The sequence below is a fragment of the Homo sapiens genome, chromosome 2 (assembly GCF_000001405.40).
Source record: "Homo sapiens chromosome 2, GRCh38.p14 Primary Assembly".
NCBI classification, from domain to species: Eukaryota; Metazoa; Chordata; class Mammalia; order Primates; family Hominidae; genus Homo; species Homo sapiens.
The window spans coordinates 178,413,423-178,433,345 of NC_000002.12; the positions used below are offsets into that span (position 1 = coordinate 178,413,423).

The 19,923-nt window shown below is 41.1% G+C and overlaps 1 protein-coding gene and 1 long non-coding RNA gene across 8 annotated transcripts in view, besides 6 other annotated features; one reads left to right on the top strand and one right to left on the bottom strand.

The window, feature by feature from the left end:
- Positions 1-576: an enhancer, noted in NCBI's record as "H3K27ac hESC enhancer chr2:179278150-179278725 (GRCh37/hg19 assembly coordinates)". NCBI's record gives its function as "activates a minimal SCP1, AML or CMV promoter by ChIP-STARR-seq in primed H9 embryonic stem cells {active_cell/tissue: H9 hESC(primed)}" and the evidence as "EXISTENCE:reporter gene assay evidence [ECO:0000049][PMID:30033119]".
- Positions 1-605: a biological region, named in NCBI's record as "H3K27ac hESC enhancer GRCh37_chr2:179278150-179278725".
- CHROMR (cholesterol induced regulator of metabolism RNA) overlaps positions 237-19,923 on the top strand; it is a 26,585-nt gene continuing 6,898 nt past the window's right edge. Inside the window, exons 1-3 of one of the 3 annotated variants that reach the window (NR_110204.1) lie at positions 237-691; positions 12,944-13,239; positions 17,348-17,467. This is a non-coding gene — a long non-coding RNA (cholesterol induced regulator of metabolism RNA). Of the gene's footprint in view, positions 692-12,943; positions 13,240-17,272; positions 17,468-19,923 lie in introns of all 3 variants that reach the window. The other 2 variants (NR_110205.1, NR_110206.1) reach the window with 2 other exon arrangements.
- Positions 406-605: an enhancer, noted in NCBI's record as "active region_16803". NCBI's record gives its function as "activates an Ori minimal core promoter by ATAC-STARR-seq in GM12878 lymphoblastoid cells {active_cell/tissue: GM12878}" and the evidence as "EXISTENCE:reporter gene assay evidence [ECO:0000049][PMID:35858748]".
- Positions 1,107-1,366: an enhancer, noted in NCBI's record as "active region_16804". NCBI's record gives its function as "activates an Ori minimal core promoter by ATAC-STARR-seq in GM12878 lymphoblastoid cells {active_cell/tissue: GM12878}" and the evidence as "EXISTENCE:reporter gene assay evidence [ECO:0000049][PMID:35858748]".
- Positions 1,107-1,728: a biological region, named in NCBI's record as "H3K27ac hESC enhancer GRCh37_chr2:179279303-179279877".
- Positions 1,154-1,728: an enhancer, noted in NCBI's record as "H3K27ac hESC enhancer chr2:179279303-179279877 (GRCh37/hg19 assembly coordinates)". NCBI's record gives its function as "activates a minimal SCP1, AML or CMV promoter by ChIP-STARR-seq in naive and primed H9 embryonic stem cells {active_cell/tissue: H9 hESC(naive and primed)}" and the evidence as "EXISTENCE:reporter gene assay evidence [ECO:0000049][PMID:30033119]".
- Positions 17,992-19,923, bottom strand: part of PRKRA (protein activator of interferon induced protein kinase EIF2AK2) — a 19,762-nt gene continuing 17,830 nt past the window's right edge. For all 5 annotated transcript variants that reach the window (NM_003690.5, NM_001316362.2, NM_001139517.1 and 2 more), the window contains one exon: positions 17,992-18,832. In NM_003690.5, the coding sequence (NP_003681.1) occupies positions 18,675-18,832 (158 nt within the window). In that variant the 3' untranslated portion in view covers positions 17,992-18,674. The remainder of the gene's footprint in view (positions 18,833-19,923) is intronic.

Consider the following 19,923-nt stretch of genomic DNA (forward strand, 5'->3'; position numbering starts at 1 on the left):
GACCTCAGGTGATCAGCCCGCCTTACGCCTCCCAAAGTGCTGGGATTACAGGCGTGAGCCACCGCCCCTGGCTCCCCCACCGGCAATTTCTAAAATGTATCGGTCTCCTCCCAAGCCCTTGTTCCTTCATCCCCCACCCGGGGCAGATTCAGACAAGCATTTATTTTAGTTCCTAAGCCGCGCGGTGCTCCCAGCTTCCGCGCCTCTGGGCGGCCCACACCCCTCCCCATCCTCTCCTCCGCGCCGCCGTCTTCGTTGCTCTTGGGTGGCCGCGGCGCCCGCTCCCTCTGAATTCGCCGGGCAGGGATACAGCCGCCCGGGGCCTCTTGCTCGTGCTTGGTTTTCCGGACCTTGCTTCCTAAAGGGTCTTTAGGGGTTCCCGGACTCCTCCGCCTGGGAGCCTCTATCCGCCTGGGAGCCTCTATGCGCCCCGCAAAGCCCCCGGCAGAGCCGAGGGGAGGCTTCATTGGCGACCTGGTGGGGCCTCGCGGCCCTGCTCCCTGACGTCAGCGCCGCCGCGGTGATTTAACAGCTTTTGTTTTGGGCAGAAGAACCTATGGGCACAAAAAGCAGGAACGAGTAGCGGTGGCTGAAGAACGAGCAGGAGCTTGAATTTCAGTTTTCTTATGAGGAATTTTCCAGAAAAGATATCTTCACTGTGAAATAACTAAATAAATGCCCACTCAGTACAGTAAGTATTGATATCGTCCTATAGCATTTGGCTAGAAAGTGGTGTCAATAGGGTTTTTCCTTCAGACTTTGCAATACTGTTCAGAAGGGCCAATGCCAATCCTTCTGTGAGGAAGTTTTTTTCTTCCTAAATATGTTAATTGCCTCAACTTGGACTAACGGTCACACTTGTGAATATGAGTGTAAGAAACAGTTTATTTCTCACATGTATGAAAAGGAAATTTTCTTTCATCTATCTCAGGCCCCTATTCAGCGTAAAATCAAGATTATTTAACTTGCAAGATTAAACAACGACCTTATTTCAAATGAAATAAAATTCAGTCTGATCAGAAACCCCTTGGAGCAGTTTATATTAACCTAATTATCTTTTTACTGCAGTAAGTTAATTGAGGATTATGGAATGCATCTAAAAAGCAGTTATATTTACAGGTCCCAAAATTAAATGCTAAGGAAAAGCATTTCTGCAAACCCAGGTAGTACGGACAAACCGAAGGGAGTTTTATTCTGTCAAGTTTTACTCTAAATTCAATCGTTGATCAGCTAGATCTCGGCTTGGTTATTCTTGGAGGAGCTGCCTTGCAAATGATTCCACTCTGAGCTCGCCGGCCACAGTAGCGTGAAATGGATGGCAGTCAGTTTCCTCTTCCTAAGACTGGGTGTGGTTTCTCTGGGCAGACTACACAGTGGCGACTCTGGCGGGATTTGAGGAGCCTGGAGAGGCCCACCACGTGTGTGTCTCCCCCTAGTGACCAACGGGCTGAAGTTCCTGTGGTTAAAGGCAATTGCTGATTTTGTCATTAGCAGGAAGGTGAAGCTCAACGACCTCCTGCGTGTACAGCACCATTCTAGAAGCTGGATGTGTTTAAAGATATGATGCAATATGTACCCAGAAGGCATAAGACTAGATCACTAGGGTACAAATTAAAATATCAAGTTGCATACGCTGAGTATGGGATTAGGTCAGCGGAACACGCTTTGGAAAACACTGCTTTAACGACCTCATTCTGAGTCCCTGTAATGCTTAAGATTATAGCACAGTTTAGGCACCTTATATACATTATGATGGAATGCTTTCCTAGAGTGATATTCTGTGGTGGAAAGAGCAAATCAAAGGTCTTTGTGTTCTCTGTGACCGTGGAAGAAATTGCCATTAAGTAGTAATATAAATAGGGGTTTTAAAAAACGTGGGAAAAGTCTGAAGAAGCATTTGCAGAAACTCCTTACAAAGTCAGTGACAGCTAGGCCAGGCCAAGGTGGGCGGATCACTTAAGGCCAGGAGTTTGAGACCAGCCTGGCCAACATGGCAAAACCCTGTCTCTACTAAAAATACAAAAATTAGCTGAGCGTGGGTGGCTGAGATGGGAGAATTGCTTGAACCCAGGAGGCAGAGGTTGCAGTGAGCTGAGATCGCACCACTGCACTCCAGTCTAGGCAACAGTGCAAGACTCTGTCTCCAAGAAAAAAAGGAAAAAAAGACATGTACTGTAAATGTAAAATATAAAATATAGGCTGGATTTCAGAGACATAGTATGTAAAAAAGAATGTAAAATATCTTAATAATTTTTATATTTATTACATGTTAAAATGATAATGTTTTTGACATATTAGGTTAAATAGAATATAATTCAATCAGTTTCTTTTCTCAAAGAGTGTGGCTACTAGAAATGTTTAAATTATGTATATGGTTTGCATTATATTTTTTCAGACAGTGCCGATGTAATAGTAACAAAAAGTCTCAGCCTCATTTAAGATAAAAGGCCATCATCAGACAATGCAGGACAGATTGTAACAATAGGAAGTACTACAGAGATTCAGAGAATGCCATAAATAACCTTGGAATCCTGTGCTTGGGTAAAACATTTGCTTTTTACTTAGCTGATCCCTTAAAGCCTGTTAAGTTGAAATGTTACAGAGGGAATTTTATATTAGAGTTGGCCACCTCAATTTCATAACTTTTTAAGGAGAAAATGGCTTACATTTGTGCATCTTCAAGGTTTTCAAAGCATTTGCACATTTATTATCTCATTTCATCTTTCTAACCTGAGAGGAAGGTAGAGCAGTTTATCCCCATTTTACTGGTAAGGAAACTGAGGCTCAAAGAGTTCATGTGATGTGAAGAATATTGGAATTAAGGATGCCAGAGAACAATGACTCAGAGTGACCAAGTCATTATGGGGTCCATTTGGAGGTCTCTATGTAGAGGGAGAGCTTCCTCAGGGACTCCTGCAGACATCTCCTTATTGGAGGACAGGAGGAAGCTTGAAGACACTTTTCCCCACTCGGACTCAGTACTGAGTACTTTTCCACTCTAAGTCCTTCACCTTCTCCTCATCCCAGGCCCTGGGTCCATAAAACTGCAGGAGCCTTTTGTTCAAGGGTTCTCTCAGCAAAGCTGTGCTGATCCACCTGACCCTGGATTGGTGCCATTCTATCACAGCATGGGATTAAAGCCTTGACCCTTCCTTTCATATTGGCTTATTGTCTTCACTGCTTTTCTGACTTCTGGCACCTCAACTCTCTGGAACTAAGCTCGGCCCTTGACAGTTAGACCTGCTGTCTCTTCCCACTCTGACTTCCCTCTTGTCTCCCATCCCAATACTCTTCCTTGCTCTGGCTAGGCACAACCCCCGACTTTAAAGTTTTGGAGTGATCACGGGCATTTCTGGGATTTGGCCAAGGGATAAATTGAGTTGAGACTACATTGAGTTTGGGTTTAATGGGATATATGTATGTGGTTTGTAGTCACATCCATGTATAGTTAAGTAATGGTCATACCACTACTGGAATGGTTTCTAGGAATACTCCTACTAGTGACTATGCGGGTTCACATACACCCTACATATAAAAGCAGGGCCAGAGGTCACACTATGATATGAATGTGACCTATTGCTTGGCATCAGAAATATGCGGGTAGTGGAGAAGAAACAGATTGAAATGAACTGTGGTAGATCCATTGCAAGAATGTCTCCAATACTTCCCTGTAGGCAGACCCTTTGCAATGTGATTTTTTTTAACTCTACCCGTGAAAAGTTGGGCCCACCTCTTGAATCTGGGCGGGTTTCGTGACTTGCAATGCTGTGGAAAGAGTCATACTTGAAGAATAGGGGTGCTTTAGTCTCTAGGAAGGCGCTACTTTAAACCCATGCTAACAAAGCTTTTAAAATACCCCTCCTATAAGAATCAATGTGATCCATCACTAAATTAACTGTCTGTGAGAAAAAAACTCAATACTCTTTAAAGGAAGACAACAAAATCTTGATTCACAGCAATGTAGAATCTGTAATGTCCAGCATATAATCTATCAAAATATAAGAGAATCAGAAAAGCAGGAAAACGTGACACATATTCAGAATATATATTGCTGGACAGTGCTGATCACCTGTGTTTTCCAACACTGGAGGACTTGTGGAATCTTGACTCAGCTTGTCACTCATCAGTGGTAACTGTTCTCTGCTGGCCCTCACAGAGTCTTACTCTGCACATGCACAGCTTTGTATTTGGCTAAAGACTTCAGGGGAATCCCTATGCAGGATTCTGTAGTTCCTTCTCTACACCACTCCTTATCCTCAGGTACTCTACCCTACTTACTCTAGGCAATTCAGCATCCCTGAGGTCTCTCTGGACTTCACTTTTCCATTCTGCAGTCCAAAATGGGCTCTTGAGCAGAAATCTAGGGCCACCAGGGGGATCATCTCATGTGTTTCCCCTCTCTCAGGTTAGCAATCTGTGCTGTTGTCTAAGATTCTTTGCTTGGCCCCAAACTTTAATCAGGCTCCTGAGCCTTCTACTAAGCCCATCTGTGCACTTCCATGTAAAAGCCAGTTGTAGCAAGAACGCTGCTTAGTTGGGTTAGCAAGAATCCCCACCTTTGATATCTGATCACCCTTGATATCTGATTGGGTTCCTCAGCCTCTACCATCCCACAGGTGACATCTGATTAATCTGGTCTGACTTCGCAAGAATCCTGTTAGATTGGTTGGTTTAGGCAGAATTCCCCTTACCCTTGATGTTTCCTCTTAGTAATTGTCTATCCACTGCCACTACCTTGCCCCTTGGCTATAAATTCCCTCTTGCCCATGCTATATTCATAGCTGAACCTAACCTCTCTCCCCTACTGCAGAATCCCATTGTAACGGTCCCTATACCTTTTGAGATAGTCCTAAAATCTGCCTTATTGTGCTTTAACAAGTATCATTTAAAAATTTTTTTTTTTTTTTTTTCAGGAGACAGGGTCTTGCTCTGTCACCAGGCTGGAGTGCAGTGGCACAATCATAGCTCACTGCAGCCTCAAACTCCTGGGCTCAAGTGATTCTCCCACCTTAGCCTCCCAAGTAGCCAGGACTACAGGAGGGTACCATCAAACCCAGCTAATATTTTAAATTATTTTTATTTTTATAGAGATGCGGATCTCACTATTTGCCCAGACTGATCTCAAACTCCTGATTTCAAGCAATCCTCCTGCCCCAATCTCCTACAGTGCTGGGATTACAGGAGTGAGTCACTGTACCTTGCCTCATTGAGTAATTTTTTTCTTTATCATATACAATGTCTGAAAGGAGCTGCCTTCTGTCTTTTGTCCAGTTTTAAAGTTGTTTACAGTGAAAGGAGGGCTAGCCCACACATGTTATTATATCATGTTTGGAAGCAGAAGTCAGTTACCCTTAAATTAGAGATGAGGAAACTGAGGAACTGAAAGGTTAAGCAACTTGCCCCAAATCACACAGCCGTTTACCTGTGATGGAGCTTGAATTCAAACCCAGGCAGTCTGTCTTTAGAGATGCTCACTTAATTATTGTTCTGTACAGCTTCTTAGAAAAATGGCTTTATATATGTATGTAAAATGTTTTGTCCAGTGTAGGTAACATAGTCAATCCTTAATAAAGTCTAGCTAAATTATTCTTTAAAATCCTAAAGCTCAGTATGAATTTGTTCCTAGCCCAGTGTTTCAAAGCAAAAGTCCCATCATGTGAGTTGATCTTTATTAACACTAATTTTTATTACTGTCCTACTATTAACAAATAAAAACAAAGCATTTGCTTAAGTCCTTTATTAAGTGCATGAACAAAATATTAAATCCTTAGCCTGCTTTCTTTTGCCATTAAAACTACCTTTCTTAACTAGAAATATGAGATAAAATGAATAAAATAAACCAAGCAATCAGGCACAGGTACTGTCAGTTTCTGAATTTCAAATAAATCCTGTGCAGTAACACACCCATCTGGCCATAACGGAGATTGCACTAGAATGAAAGCACAAGCTCATAAATAAGAATGTAAATATTTGTAATAGAACCCAGCATTTACTATACTATCTAATTCTTAATCTGCCATCTAAATGTGCTCCAATTGTTCATCTTATTTTAAAAAATTATGACTGGAGACATCTGTAAGTCCAAGCCTTTCTTTGGTTTTAGCTCATATACTTGAAAACAGTTTGCCTCTGTCTTCTGCCTCTTTTTTTTGGTGAGATATATGTAAATATTTTTCAAACCTCTACTGTATCTATTAGCACAGAATGCTATAAACATGTGGCAGCTATCCATTCACTCAGATCAGCATAGAAAGAAAAACTAGTTTATTCAGGTCTTCTCTCCACGATGTCCCACTCTTGCCCCAGCCCAAGCAGTGAAGCAAAAAAAACCCACATATTCCAATCCATCTACTTCACCCTCTCTAATATTCAAATTGACTGAATAGCTATCAGATCTTCATTACACACTGTTCTCTGCAGATGGCCTTTTTGATAAGTCTTAATCTAAAAAAATTATTGAGGGAAATGAGGAAATCAGAAAATGATAAATTAAGTACAAGAAATTTAAGACTTAGCTTATTGTTATCGTCTCCTTTTTGATATCAGCTGTATTTGTGGCAGAAAGCCATCATGATCTGCTATCTCAATATACTGTCAAGCTGGTAATTCTGAATATGTTGTCAAGCTTGTAAATGTTCTGAGTAGACCACATCTTCAGTAATTTCCACAAGTTTACAATTTTTCAGGTAAAGCTATAATTTATTGCCTTAAATTCATTTTTTCAATGTAGTAAGAGCTGCTGCTTAGTTATAATACTCTGAAACTTCCACGAAACTATCCTTTTTAGAACTCATATTACAATATGGGCTGTTTCATGTTTTTTAACTTCTTTGGACCTTGAGATGCAGTGTTATTCTAGATGCAGCATTACTCACAGTGGACATTGTCCTCAAATTAGCATAATTTCTATTTCATTTCCTACATACTGTTTTGGATAATGTTGAAAGAAATCTTTTGAAAATGCAAATATTTTTTGTCGCGGCACATACACACACTCTCTACAGAAACCTTGTCTTAGTTTGTTTAGTGTTGCTTTAAAGGAATACCTGAGACTGGGTAATTTATAAAGAAAAAAATTATTTGGCTCCTGATTTTAGATGGCTGGAAAGTTCAAGATTGGGCTTCTGCATCTGGTGAGGGCCTTAGGCTGCTTCCACTCATGGCAAAGGTAAAGGGAAACTGGTGTGTGCAGAGATCACATGCAAGAGAGGAAGCAGGGCTGGGGAAGAGGAAGCAGGGGTGGGGAAGAGGTGCCAGGTTCTTTTTAACAACCAGCTCTTTTGGGATTTAATAGCGTGAGAACTCACTCATCCTTAAGGGAAGGCATAAATCTATTCATATGGGATCCACCCCCATGATCCAAACACCTTCCATTGGACCCCATCTTCCAACACCACCACACTGGGAATCAAATTTCAACATGAGATTTGCAGGAGAAGGGACAAACAAACCATATCCAAACCATAGCAACCCTGCCAAAAATAAAAAGCAAAGAAAAAACTGGCTACAAACTCATAATTTATCCTCTCTCTAGAAATTCTAATAAAAGGCAAAAGATATATGATCTGAAGAGAATCCAGAGTATCTCCAATGCTGACTTGTAATTTTATATATCTTAAATTATGTGATTTATATGATATTCTTATCATCTTTTTTCACTAAACTATAACTCCATATCTCAGGTGGGACTCTCAGGGAGCAGACTCAGGAGACAGTAGGCAGAAGGTTTATTAGGGAATGCTTTTGTGATCATCATCCGTGGAAGGAATGGAAAGAAATCAGGATTGGGTGGAAGGAGGACTTGGGTTGTGATACAGTGTCAACAGTGTTCTCAGCTGACCCCATGGGAAACTCTAAAGCTGGTTGGCCCTTTTGATGTCCCATATTGGAGCAAGAAGGTCAGGACTTTGTTGCCCAGTCACTGGATGCAAGGAACCCAAAGATGGGGGTGACCTTGGATGCAGTGACACTCTCAGCTGGTCTCAGTGACTTACCTGGTGATAAAACTCAGTCCTTGATCCTTAGAGGCTCAGAGTCCCCGGTCCCTATAATCTTTTTAGGCTCATAATGGCTGCTACACTGTCCGTTTACAATCAGAATTGGGCAAGAGCATACCAAGAGGTGCATACGTGCAGTGCTTGGTTACCAACATTTTCCTCCTTCCTCCAACTGTAACCGTGGTCCTACCTCCTCTTTATGATAAGATCCATTATCCCTGCCAGGATGTGACTCCTCTTTTTGCCTGCTACTTTCTTGGTACAAGGAACCTGAAGTACCTAGCCCGCAGATGTAGCTTATAATTCAATGAAACTGATGAGTCTCTTCTTGGGTCTCACTGAACTATAAACTACATCTGCTGGTGGAGGTGTTTCACCTTTAGGAAGCAGGACCTCTAAATGACAGGACCCAGTGTTGTGGAGCCAGGAAGCACAATTTCCCCCAAGAGAATCACTGGGAATGATAGAAAGCAGGGCCATTCCTGCTTCTACCTCTTGATTCCTGGACCCATGTATTCTACCTGTTAAGAACACAGCCCTACATAAAGACCATTAAAGTGTCCACTTCATCTTAAAGGATGGTGTTCGTGTTAGGTATGCCTTCAACAAGTTAATTATTCATTCTATCAGGGTAGAGGCTTCTGGGTGATGCAGCATGTAATAATAAGACAAGCAGAGGCTGTGGTCGTTTGCCCACTCTTTCCTCCTTTGCTATAAAACAGGTCCCATGAGGTAGTTCAAACTCTCTGAAAGCCCTCAGTGATGCTGGCCAATGCCCTGCAGATAGAAAAGGAGAATCATTTAGAATATGTGTCTATTCCTGTCAAAATGAGTCACTGCGTCTTGTTAGGATCATTATTGTAAGTCAGCTTGCCACCAAGTGACTGATTGGTCTTCTTGAGGAATAGGCACTCAGCATTGCAGCATTGGTCTCTGTTGTTAGCAGGCTGAAAATTCAGCAGTGAATATAACTAGATCAGCCTCAGTGTATAGGAGCGCATCCTGTTAGGTCTGTTACATAGCCTCCAATCCTGCCACAGTAGTTATTCCAATGCCAGATGCTGGATGTTATTAACCAGCCAAGTCCTGATACTGACTTGGTTGTTCAGGGCCTTTTCCATTATGGATACTTTGTAGTATAGATCAAACGCAGTACAAAGCTCCTAACGCTTTGTGCCCACTCTCATGTGCCCAATCCACCATTTTTATCTCAAAATCTCTTTGTTCCCAGTAGTTTAGTCTATTTTCAGGACCCTGATCCCATGACCAAGCCAGTTGCCACTACCCATGTATATTCTAACCTTGAGACCCTTTCTACACAAATGGACAGCAAAGTATACTGCCCGAAGGTCTGCCCTTTGGGAGGATTTTCCCTTACCATTGACTTTCAGGGCCACCCCTGAGTGGCACAGTACTATAGACACCATCTATTTTGTTTGCCAAAATATACCCATTTGTGAGTCAAATTCATGCATTTTCCTCTTTCATCAGCTCGTCATATGGGATCAGTGACAATAAATGTAAGCCAAGGGAGAGACACTGGTGCAACAGTGGTAGAGACATGGGAGTCTAGGCTGCTTGCTAATGTAACATACTGTGCCCTTTGCCTATGTTTGTGTTCTACATGTATAGAACCCAGCTCATGATCATTGTTCTTGGCTTCATGGCTACTTGACATCCCTTTGTCTGGTGCTATATCTCTATAAAAGCCCAGCAGCACATCAGCAGCTGTTTGTTGAAAGGTGTTTACTTCTCTGCTACAGATAGCATGGCCAGACTCTTGGGTCTGCATTGTGATTTTCCCATTAGGACTTATCATAAACTCCACACAGAATCTTTTCCTATATATCTAATACAACAGCATCTGCTGGGTGGTATGGCAAAGTGGTAAAACTGCCACCTGGACCTGCTTCAGAGCCCTTTTCTGCTCTGGGTCCCACTTGAAATTGGAAGCCTTTTATGTCATCCAGTGTATAGGTAACAGCAAGTATTTCCTGCTATGGCATATGCTGCCTCTAGAACCCATAGAAACCTATCATTCTTTTATGCTACCTTCTTTATGGTGAGAGGTACAAAATGCAATAATTTGTTGCTTATTTTGGAAGGCATATCTTGGCATGCCCTGGACTGTGGACCCACTAGAGAGCCACCAGTAGAAGTTCCTTGAATCTTTGTAGGGTTTGTCTCTCACCTTCGGAGTATATGTGCGGTAGCTCCAATATATTATCTACTTCTTGCTCTTCTGGTCCAGTTAACATGGTATAATTGATATAGTGAATCAGTGATGTTCTGCAAGATGCCCAGCTGGTCTTGGTCCTTCAGACTATATTATGATAAAAGCTGGAAGAGTTAACATGCTTCTAAGAAGATTATACATGTTCACTATTGTCTGATCCAAGGTAATGTGTTTCTGATCCTCTTTTCTAATATAGAAAGGATGCATTTGTCAGATCAACAGCTGCATATTGTATACGTGGTGCCATGTTGTGATTTCTACTTTTTTGAATCTGTTGAGACTTGTTTGAAATATGGTCTGTTCTGGATAATGAGAAAAGAATGTGTCTTCTGGGCTGGGCATGGTGGCTCACGCCTATAATCTCAGCACTTTGGGAGGCTGAGGTGCGTGGATCACCTGAGGTCGGGAGTTCGAGACCAGCCTGACCAACATGGAGAAACCCCATCTCTACTAAAAATACAAAAATTAACTGGGCATGGGGGTGCATGCCTGTAATCCCAGCTACTTGGGAGGCTGAGGCAGGAGAATTGCTTGAACTCGGGAGACAGAGGTTGCGGTGAGCCAAGATCACACCATTGCACTCTGTAGCTGTTGGGTGAAATATTCTGTAAATGTCAGTTAGGCCTATTTGATCTAGTATGTAGTTTAACTCCAAAGTTTCTTTGTGGATTTTCTGTCTGGATGATTTATCTGTTACTGAGAATGGGGTGTTGAAGTCCCCTAATATTACTGTATTGCAGTTTATCTCTCCCTTTAGATCTATTAATGTTTGCTTTGTATAATTGAGTGCTCCAGTGTTGGGTGCGTAGATATATAAATTATTATATCCTCTTGCTGAATTCACTCTTTTGTCATTATATAGTGACCTTCTTTGTCTCTTTTTATAGTCTTTGACTTGTAGTCCATTTTATCTGATGTGAGTATAGTTATTCTTGATCTTTTTTGATTTCTACTTGCATAGATTTTTTTTTCCATCCCTTCACTTTCCGTCTATGTGTGTCATTACAGGGGAGGTAAGTTTCTTGTTAGCAGCATATAGTTAAGGGCTTGTTTCTTTATCAGTTCAGCCTTTTAATTGGAGAATTGAGTCCCCTTACATTCAGTGTTATTATTGACAAGTAAGGACTTACTACTGTCATTTTGTGCTTGTTTTCTAATTGTTGTTTTATAATTCCTCTCTTCCTTTCTTATTGTCTTCCTTTGTGGTTAAGTGATTTTCTCTGGAGTATGTTTTAATTTGTTGCTTTTCATTTTTAGTGTGTCTATTATAGGTTTTTACATTGTGGTTACCATGAGGCTTACATAAAACATAGATATACCAAGTCATCTTAAAGAGATGACAACTTATCTTAGATTAAAAAAAAAAAAAAAGAAAAGAAAAAACTAAAAAAAAAAGCCTTTATACCTTAACTCCATCCCTTCTACATTTTGACTTTTGTTTGTCTCAATTTACATATTTTTATATTGCTTATCTCTTAACAGGTTGCTGTAGCTGTTATTGTTTTTGGTAGGTTTGTCTTTTGGTCTTCATACTAGAGTTATAAGTGGATTACACACCACAATTTCAGTATTGAAGTATTTGGGGATTGTCTTTGTACTTAATTTCATCAGTGGGTTTTATACCTTCAAATGTTTTTGTTTTTGCACATTGGTGTTTTTTTTTTTTTTCTTGTGGATTGAAGAACTCCCTTTAGCATTTCTTTTAAGATGGGCCTCATGGTGGTGAATTCTCTCAGCTTTTGTTTATCTGGGAAAGACTTTATCTTGCTTTGATGGTTGAAGGATAGCTTTGCTGGATACAGTATTCTTGTGTGGCAGACATTTTTTTCTTTCAACACTGAAAATTTCATCCCATTTGCTCCTGGCCTGTATGGTTTCTGTTGAGAAGTCTGTTGCCAGATGAATTGGAATTTATGTTATTTGCTTCTTTTCTCTTGCTGCTTTTAGGACCCTTTCTTTGTCCTTGCCCTTTGAGAGTTCGACTATGCCTACGGGTAGTCTTATCTGGGTCGAATCTGTTTAGTGTTCTCTGACCTGCATACCTGGATATTTATATCTTTCTTAAGTTTTGGGAAAAAAATTTTATTATTTCTTTGAATAAGCTTTCTACCCCTTGCTGTTGCTCAACTTTTTCTTGAACACTAGTTATTCTTCGATTTGGTCTTTTGAGATAATTTTCTATATCTTGTAAGTGATCTTCATTCTTTTTCATTCTTTTTTCTTTTCTCCCCCTCACTGTGTAATTTCAAATGGCCTGTCTTTGAGCTCACTGACTTTTTCTTCTCCTTGATCCATTCTGTGGTTCATCTAATTTTTTTTTAGTTCAGCAAATATATTTCTCAGTAATGAGAATTTTGCTTTTTTAAAATTATTTTAATCTGTTAAATTTCTCTGATAAACTTATAGATTGCTTGTCTGTGTTATCTTGGGGGTTACTGAGTTTCCTTAAAACTGCTATTTTGAATTCTTGGTCAGAGAGCTCACATATCACCATTTTCTTAGATTCAGACACTTGTTCCTTGCTTTATTCATTTGGGGAGGTCATGGTTCCCTATTGCTGTTGTTTTTCTTGTGGATGTACGTCCATATCTTTGCATTGAAGGATTATTTATTCCAGTCTTCTCTGTCTTGATTGTTTTGTTTTCTGTCGGGGATGTTTGCTTAGAGATTCTTTGTGACTTATCTGTTAAATTTCTTATTTTCCCACTAGGTCACTGTCTCCCTTTTGGAACTTGATGGCACCTTAAGCCCAGGTTTGCCTCCACTCTAGAAACTCATCAGAGTGATGCCCTTCTCAAATGGGGGAGGTCCCAAAGCGGATATCCTGGCAGTGTGAAAGGCCGGCTAAAGGTTTGTGCCAAGAGGATCTGTGGAATGCATCTCCTACAGCTGGTGCTGCTGAGTAACCACTCTGATCTGGCATCTTCTTTGATCAAGTTACAGAGCAGAGTTTCCAGGGCTGGGGATTGAAGTCCTGCCTCCTCCCTTTGTCTCTGGTTGTCCTCGGTAATGTTTTTCCCTCAAGGTACTCATGATACTTCCCATGGGGTGAGTCAGGGACAGGTCTCTTTCCAGGGAATCCAGGATGGTAGGGAGGTTGGTTGTCTACCTTGATCTCACTTTTTCCATTGTAGAAACTGTGAGTTGGGGAAAGTTTTCCACACACTTGGTGCTGGACAGATTGTGGCAAGGGGCACCACAGATATAAAAATCTGATTCTTTTACCATGCTCAGAGTTTTTTCACTTCTGTGTCCCCAGGAATTGACTCATCCTCATATCTGAGTTCTGGGATATTGTTGGTGATAATCTCAGTGCTGTATATTTGTTTTTGGTTTTCTGGTGTGGAAGTGAAGCCAGCTTGCGTCTACACTGCCATTTTTGAACTAGAAGTCCACCTGATGCCATGTGGGTCTGCTCTAACAAAGATGCCTGTAGCTGTCTCTGTAGGTACAATTGGAGCTACTACCTCATAAAGTTTGTGGTAGCCCACTATCTGGTTTTTGGAGGGGCTAGACTGGTAAATTAAATGGAGATACAATTTGAACCATCATCCCCGAATCTTTTAGGTCTTTTAGGATGGCATTAATTTCTGCCATTCCCTGAAATATTATTTTTTGATTTACTGTATTGGTATGGAGAAGAGGTCAATTTTTAAAGCTTCCACCTGGCCACTTGGCCTTTATCACTATGTTAGCTCTTACCACACACACCGAGAAACCTGGTGCCACTAATCAAGTGTATTTATCACAATTATACACTCAAGGACTAGGTGGGTCTGTGGATATATTGTGAGCCAGACTTGGGCCAGGACACCCTAGGACTTGGCCTCCATAACCCTTACTCTAATCAAGGGCATATAGTGAGAGTTCTGTGATATCATTGTTAACTCAGACCCTGTTTCCAACAGATATCAAAATGTTGAGTATTCCCCTTTCACCACTGTATGATTTCCTGAGTAATGGTGATAGGTCCCTTTGGAGAAGGACTAGAGGAATCATTATTGTGCACACTTGTGGTATTACACAATCCTTCCTCCTGGGGACCCAGATTCTTCTTTAGTTAATGGGCCTGGATCCAAAAACGGACTCAGGTCTGGAAATCGGACAAGGGGTCATGATTATTTTTTATTTTTATTTATTTATTTATTTATTTATTTTTGAGACAGAGTCTCCCTCTTTAGCCCAGGCTGGAGTGCAGTGGCACAATCTCTACTCATGGCAACCTCCATCTCCTGGGTTCAAGCAATTCTTTTGCCTCAGCCTCCCGAGTAACTGGATTACAGGCGCGCACCACCTTGCCCGGCTAATGTTTGTATTTTTAGTAGAGACAGGGTTTCACCATGTTGGCCAGGCTGGTCTTGAACTACTGGCCTCAGGGAATCCACCCTCCTCGGCCTTCCAAAGTACTAAATTTATAGTCATGAGCCACTGCACCCCGCCAGTTTAACTTTTTTTTAATTGGCTTAGTTGCCAAGAGAGGAAGTTGGGGAGGATCCTGAGGAGTGTATGTTTTGTCCTTGGAGAGAGAGCTCATTGTCTTCAAGCAAAAGAGGGAGCACACTAGCCCTTATTAGAGAAGAGAGGGGCACTTCTGTAGCCTTAGAAGGTTCTGGAAACCTGAGGATTGAAGATTTTTCAGGTGCATCAACCCAGATGGTTTCATCCCATGTGTCAGGGTTCCATTTTTTCCCAATCAGGGTCCTGACAACAGCACAGTAGACCTGCCTAGCTTGGGTCCTAACTTCTTTGGAGTTTTATTCTCATGACTAAGTCCTGGGCCTGGTCCTCAGCTTCCTCTCCTCATTGGCTTGAGAACCTGAGAGTCTCATATTCTACGAGGGAGGCTTTCTGGCCCTCACACTGAGTTTTTGTTTGTTTTTGAGACAAGATCTTGCTTTGTCACTAAGGCTGAGTGTGTAGTTGCACCCAGGCTGGGAGTGCAGTGGCACAGTAAGCTACTGTAACCTTGAACTCCTGGACCCAAATTATCCTCTGGCCTCAGCCTCTTGAGTAACAGAACAACAAATGCATGCCACTATGCCCTGCTGATTTTAAATTTTTGTGGAGATGGGCCTTGCTATGTTGCCCAGGCTGGTCTTGAATTCCTGGCCTCAAGCTATCCTCCCTTTTCAGTCTTCTGAGGCACTGGAATTACAGGCATGAGCCACGGCTCTTGGTCCCACACTCAGCTTCTAATTACCAACTAATCACTCTCATTCTTTTATTTTGAGACAGGGTCTCATTCTGTAGCTCAAGCTGGAGTACAGTAGTGCAAATATAGCTCACTGCAGCCTCAAACTCCTGGGGTCAGGTGATCTTCTTGCCTCAGCTTCCCAAATAGCTAGGACTACAGCCACAAGCTACTGGGCATGGATAATTTTTTAAATATTTGTAGAGACAGGGTCTCGCTATGTTGCCCAGGCTGGTCTCAAACTCCTGGCTCAGCCTCCCAAAGTGCTGGGATTACAAGTGTGAGCCACTATGCCTGGCCCATTCTCATTCTTCTGTTATCTTTTTCCAAGGTATCGGTCTAGCTCAGTAATAACTCTTCAGTTCCACTGTCTACACTGTTTCCCACCTGATCTTCGTGCCTGCCGGTGCATTTCTTTGTGTTGACATGCCATCTCAGTTCACCACTAGTCAAAGTTTTAATAACTGCACTGTCAGGGTGTGCTAGCAGTTAACTTCTCCCTGCCCCAGTGAGGAGACTCTCATCCTATAAGTGAGAAGGCAAGAGAAATGGCTCCAAAAGCACACTGGAGCACCTACTTTCCTGCAACCCTTCTGATACCAAGTATCACAGATGCTGAGATGAAGATTAGTGGGTAGGAGATTTGGATTGCCACCTGTGGAAAGAAAGGAAACTCCACTGGGTGGAGGAAGAATATGGACTATGATGCAATCTCAAAGGTGGCCTTAGCTGACACTAAGGGGAACTCTGAAGCTAGGATGGTCTTTCAGATTGTTCTAATATGGGGCAATGGGACTAGTCTTTGCATGCAGCCTGGCCCAAGAAGGAAGTGTGACTTCAGATGAGGTGGCTCTTTTCACTTAAGAGGGCAATTCTACTGACAGCTGAGGGCCGTTGGGTGCACACTGCCAGAGCGAGAAAACAAAATCCTCTGTAGGGAAGGGGACTGTGTGGCATATCACAGCACACCCCGAGAACAAGGGAGCGGCTCTTCATCAAATAACACAATATGGGCCCACATATTCCCAGAGGCTGCTATAGTGCTGGGCACATTAGTGCTCAATAACTTATTGAATTAGTATTATCATATTGTGCTATTGCCATCCTCATCTTTTAAAGTCACTTATCACTTAATGGATGTTCTTGTTAGAACTGACACTATGAAGATGACTATGACACAATTACCTGTTGAGCCTATTTGAGAAATTAACCTATATTTAACAAGTTTGACTAATTAGATTGGTTAAGAGCCTTAGCAGAGGGCTAAACAAAATGGTGTTAAAGAATACACCTGATGGTCCAAGAAAATCCCTAACTCCCTAGAAGGTCTGGATAGTCTGAGAAGTGACATTCGAACAGTGTAATGCACTTTCCTCCAGAGCCAGAAGCAGGGAAAGCAGAGGCAGCAGCAATTTTATCTTCTGGGCACCTTATCCTCAGACCTCATTTTATCAATACATACGGACTGTCTACAACCACGTAATATCCTTTTCATCAGCCTTATGAAATTTTCCCCCAATTTATCCAAGTCAGGATTTCAGTATGCAGAAGTCTAATGTCATCTTGGAGAGTTCATTGTGCCTCCCCCATATCCAAGACCATTTACTAAAACCTTAGTTCAGTCTTTAAAGAGTCACAAGATCCTATTATGCCTAGTTTTTTTTCCAGTCTTTTAAGTCTATTCCTTACCTTGCCAAAAAAGTACCTGTTTCTATGGTTTAACAAATGGAGCTTAGAATATGGAACTATGGTAAGTGCTCTTTAGAATTTAAAATAAGTTACATGTACTGGTTTTCCTTTATTTTGTAGTTTTGTTCTCAAAGAATTCCAGATATGATTTTTTTCCAGACAAAAATACCTGCTACATGCTTCCTTCTGTATGAATACATGAGACCTACCTTCATTCATGTTTCCTCTATGAAGCTTTCCCTGCACTCCAAACACAGAGCTGAGACTTCCACCTAATGTAGAAAGCTAGCACGAGCCGGCGCTGACAGATGGAAGACTTGAGATGTTACAAGATTATATATGGAAACACAAAAGGTAAGGTTAAAATCTGTTCATTAGACTTATTTCCTAACCTTTTAATCACTCATCACTTTGGAACATTCTTGCAACTGAACTGAATAAGCTGGGAAGGTTTTTTGGGTAATTCTACTAACGCTTTTTTTTTTTTTTTTTTTTTTTTTTTTTGAGACAGGGTCTCACTCTGTCACCCAGGCTGGAGTGCAGTGCTGTGATCCTAGCTCACTGCAGCTTTGATCTTCTGGGCCCAAGCAATCCTCCCACCTCAGCCTCCTGAGTAGCTGGGACTCAAAGTGTGCCACCACACCTGATTTTCTTTTTGGTAGAGATGGGGACTCACTATGTTGCCCAGGCTGGTCTCAAACTTTTGGCCTCAAGGGATCCTCCCACCTTGGCCTCCGAAAGAGTTGGGATTATAGGCATGAGCCAACATGCATGGTCAAATGCTTTTTAAACTAGTAATTCACCTGTGTATGGTTATGTCAAAGAAAAATACAAGGTTGCATACGCTTAGAGAAAGTAAGGAAGTAACCCATTACATGTATGTTTGTAAATTTTACTTAGGCCATCATTTTTTATTTTCACCTTTGAATTTCAAAGTAAATTAGAGATATGTAAATAACAGAATTATCAACATTAAAATCTTATTCACAATGGCTAACAAGAACAGGATGACAGTCAAGTCAGTAGCTTTTTAATAAAATGAGCAGAATCCCATCGTAACAGTTCTTTGTTACATGAATTCAAATACACAGCAGACCAATCATGTTCCCTGAAATTTAACAATCAATCATACTTAATAAAGGCCTGTTAGTGCTGTCCCTCAAGACTCTAATTCTAAAGGGCTTCCTTTGAATTCCCTTTATAAAGCTTTGTGCAAAGAAGAGCTTAAGCACCAGTAAGAAAGACTGTCGCTAGCATTTTTATTTCATCATCAACAACAAACATGCAGTTTCTTTCTCTGATGTGCATGGCACTGTAAAATGGGTGCTACACTCTCTCTTGTGGTACAAAGTTTATAAATACAGTATACTGATACAAAGTTGAAGCCATTAAAAAGAGCTTAATAACAACTATGAGGAGATAATTAAATCTGGAGTGTTGATGGAATCTATGAAGAGATTTAGAAACAAGACATAAACACTACGGTAAAAGTTTTACTTGGGAAGGGGCCAGAGGGGAACTTTTTATGTGCTACTGAAAGATTTTTTAAGTTGCTCCAGATTTACTTTCTTTCTGCTATTATCTTTAAATACTGCAAAGCATTGTGAGCTGCATCACTTTGTGCATTGCCACAGGAGATACCGGAGCCATGACAGACTGTGATGGGGCTGGTGGACAGTTCAGCAAGACATTGATATTGTCCATTGGCGCTCAGTTCATCTGTAATGACACATTCAAGGATGACGATTAATGTCCAATATGTATAAAGTGGATCCCTTTGTAAAAACAATACAATTCTTATTATTGTCTTTCTTTTTAAGCCTCCATGGTATACTACACCACTCGCAATCTTTGTTTTGCTTGTACAAACAAAAAACCACAACTGCTCAGCTGTAGCAGTTTTCAAACACATTACACTTCATAATGATCTGACAGTGTTAAAGACATACAGATATCTAGGCTGCACTCTAGCTCACTCAATCAGAAATATACAGTTGGGGGTGGCTGATTCCTACACTTAAAAAAATAACAGCTCCCAAGGCAATTCTAATATAGTTAGTTGAACACTATTTGGAAATTACTGAACCACACAGTAACTTTCTCAAAAGGGAAAGAACCATTTGCTAGAGGACTGGAGAGATTGTATTTTCCACTAGGAAGTCATTTTCAGGAGGCATTTGAACCAGGAATAACTTCGGTCAAGGCAAAACCTCCCTTGTGTCTTCTATTAAAAAAAAATGTTTAATTGATACATAATAATTGTATGTATTTATGCTGTTGTCCATTCATGTTCCTAGGTTTTAAGTCTGTGCAGAGTCTAGTTCTTTATTTATACTGTAAATGGGTCATGGTATTTTAAAAACAATACCTGACCCAGGAAACAAACGTTCTTCCCATCAACTGATGAGCCACTCTTACTAAAGATGGCTGAAATGAGGGCAAAGAGGAAGAAATAGAAACGTGTGCGGTATGATTTATTTGAAGTAGGCATAATAAAAATGTTATTTTTGATACTCTATTTAGTGGAAAATATCCAGATACAATGGGATTATTTAATGAGTAAAGAGGCTTTCTAGTTCTAGTATCTAGGTTCTTTTCTCCTGACCCTCCAGCTTCTGCTTGAGGCTCATCCATGTTGTAGAATGTATCAGAACTTCGTTTCTTTTTACAGCTGAATAATATTTCATTGGAAGGACAGTCCACAATTTGTTTATCCACTTATTCACTGATGGATGTTTTGGGCTGTTTCTACCTTTTGGCTTTTGTGAATGGTGCTGCTATGAATATACAGATACCTGTGTGTATAGGCA